Consider the following 2798-nt stretch of genomic DNA (forward strand, 5'->3'; position numbering starts at 1 on the left):
ACCTGGCTCTTCTGACTCCCGTGGGAGAGTCACCGTGGTGGCCTGTGCTGGAGAATCAGTAGCCGCTGGGGCTGTGGCCAACTGGGAAGGGAGGTGACTATCTGCAGGGGTGGCTGCTGCCCAGCACCACCCGCCTGTGGCTTCGTGGAACTACAAGTCACATGTGGCCAGACCACAGAGCCGGCCCCACCCCATCTTTAAAGAGAGGCTGGAAATTCAGATATTAGGTAAATGCCTTCTGATGTTAACATGTAGCAACCAGTTCAAAATGTGAAAATGCTCCATGAGGGCCAGTTAACACAAGTCTGTGGGTTGGCATGGCCTCCAGTGGCCATCTGCATCCTCTGCTTTTCACTGAAACATTGCCCCAGTTTACAAATGAGGCTACTGAGGCCCAGAGACCCACGGTGACCGCCCACGGGAGGCAGAGCCAGGTGTAGACATCCTCCACCCCCTCTGCCTGAGTCGAGCTGCCCCTGTGAGGGCTGGATGGTGGCCACCAACCTGGCTGCTCAGTGAACTGCCACCCCTTCTGGGTGAGCCATGCAGAGGACCTCATTGGAGTCCTGCCCCCAATAAACACCTGGGGACATGCTTCCAAAGCCCAGGCCGGGCCTTAGAATAGTTTGCAGGCGCTGGGAACTGATTCCCCTCTTGGGCACAGGAGAACAGACCAATGGGGGCCCCGGGTGCCCCAGGCCCATACACCCTGCATGCACAGGCTGAGCCCTTCAAGGTGCTCTTCCCCTTACCAAACCCCCAGCCTCCCTTCCTTGTGGACCCCATCAGAGCTGACATGCCAACAAGCCAGGACCCACAGCCTGGACCTGTCTTAAGGAGGCTGCCAGGATCACCTCTCCAGGCCCTGTCTGCTGTTCCCGACATAGTGAGGAGGGGCTCTGGGGGGCTGGAAGGCCAGGGTGCCCCAAGTTGAGCTGGGGCAGTCCCCTTGGAGTGAAGGTGCGCATCTTGCCACTTCACCGGAGCGTAAGAGATGTTCTGGTGAGCAATTTCACCTCCTCACTCCCTTCTCCTTATTACATCATCATCACCATAATCCTGATCGCTCATCTGCACGCGTGACTCACACGCAGTGTTCCATGCACTGCACTAGGCACCTCCGCTGCACCCTCCCTTCCTTCCTTCTTTCTTTTCTTTTCGACGGAGTCTTGCTCTGTCACCCAGGCTGGAGTGCAGTGGCGCCATCTCGGCTCACTGCAACCTCCGCCTCCCGGGTTCAAGTGATTCTCCTCCCTCAGCCTCCTGAGTAACTGGGACTACAGACGCCCACCACCATGCCTAGTTAATTTTTGTATTTTTAGTAGAGACGGGGTTTCCCCATGTTGACCTCAGGTGATCTGCCCGCCTCGGCCTCCCAAAGTGCTGGGATTACAGGCGTGAGCCACCCACTCCCGGCCTCACTGAACTATCTCATGCATTCCAATAACAGTCCTCTGAGCTAAGTCTTATTATTTTTATTTTTGTTTACAGATGGGCTGGAATTGCTCATGGCAACACTGGGATTCAGAGCAGCACCAACACTAGGAACAGTGTTATCTGTCCTCCGAGTCCGTGCTCTTAACTGTTATGTGCCCTCCCCTCATGGCCTTAGGTTCAAGTCGCACCTGTCACTTTTTTTTTTTTTTTTTTTTTTAGACGGAGTCTCACTCTGTCACCCAGGCTGGAGTGCAGTGGCGTGATCTCGGCTCACTGCAAGCTCTGCCTCCCGGGTTCACGCCATTCTCCTGCCTCAGCCTCCGGAGTAGCTGGGACTACAGGTGTCCGCCACCACACCCAGCTAATTTTTTGTATTTTTTTTTTAGTAGAGACGGGGTTTCACCGTGTTAGCCAGGATGGTGTCGATCTCCTGACACCGTGGTCCGCCCGCCTTGGCCTCCCAGCACCCGGGCATACCTCTTAACTGTCGCTTTGACTTTGTATCCTTTGTGTCATAAAGGTTAGCCGTGAATATAGCCTGCTACTGAATCATGTGAGCTCTTCTAGCGAAACATCAAACTCGAGGGTGATCTTGAGACCCCCAAAACAGAGGCTTGTGGAGGCATTTATAAAGCATCTGCCAGCTGGGTACAGTGGCTCATGCCTGAAATCCCAGCACTTTGGGAGGCTAAGGCAGGCGGATTGCCTGAGTCCAGGAGTTTGAGACCAGCCTGGCCAACACGGCAAAACTCCGTCTCTAAAAAAAAAAAGAAAAAAGGAAAGAAAAAGGCCAGGAGCGGTGGCTCATGCCTGTAATCCCAACACTTTGGGAGGCCGAGGCGAGTGGATCATGAGGTCAGGAGTTTGAGACCAGCCTGGCCAACATGGTGAAACCTCATCTCTACTAAAAATACAAAAATTAGCCAGGGGTGATGGTGCATGCCAGTAATCCCAGCTACTTGGGAGGCTGAAAGAGGAGAATCACTGGAAATGGAGTCGGACCCTGGGAGGTGGAGGTTACATTGAGCCAAGATGGTGCCATTGCACTCCAGCCTGGGCAAAAAGAGCGAGACTCTGTCAAAAAGAAAGAAAAGAAAAGAGGCTGGGTGTGGTGGCTCATGCTTGTAATCCCAACACTTTGGGAGTCTGAGGCGGGTGGATCATGAGGTCAGGAGTTCGAGACCAGCCTGGCCAAGATGGTGAAACCCCGTCTCTACTAAAAATACAAAAATTTGCTGCACGTGGTGGCAGGTGCCTGTAATCCCCACTACTCCGGAGAATCGGTTTAACCCAGGAGCCGGAGGTTGCAGCGAGCTGAGATTGTGCCACTGCACTCCAGCCTGGGCAACAAGAGCGAGACT

This window comes from Homo sapiens, chromosome 5 (genome assembly GCF_000001405.40).
Source record: "Homo sapiens chromosome 5, GRCh38.p14 Primary Assembly".
In the NCBI taxonomy this organism is placed as follows: domain Eukaryota; kingdom Metazoa; phylum Chordata; class Mammalia; order Primates; family Hominidae; genus Homo; species Homo sapiens.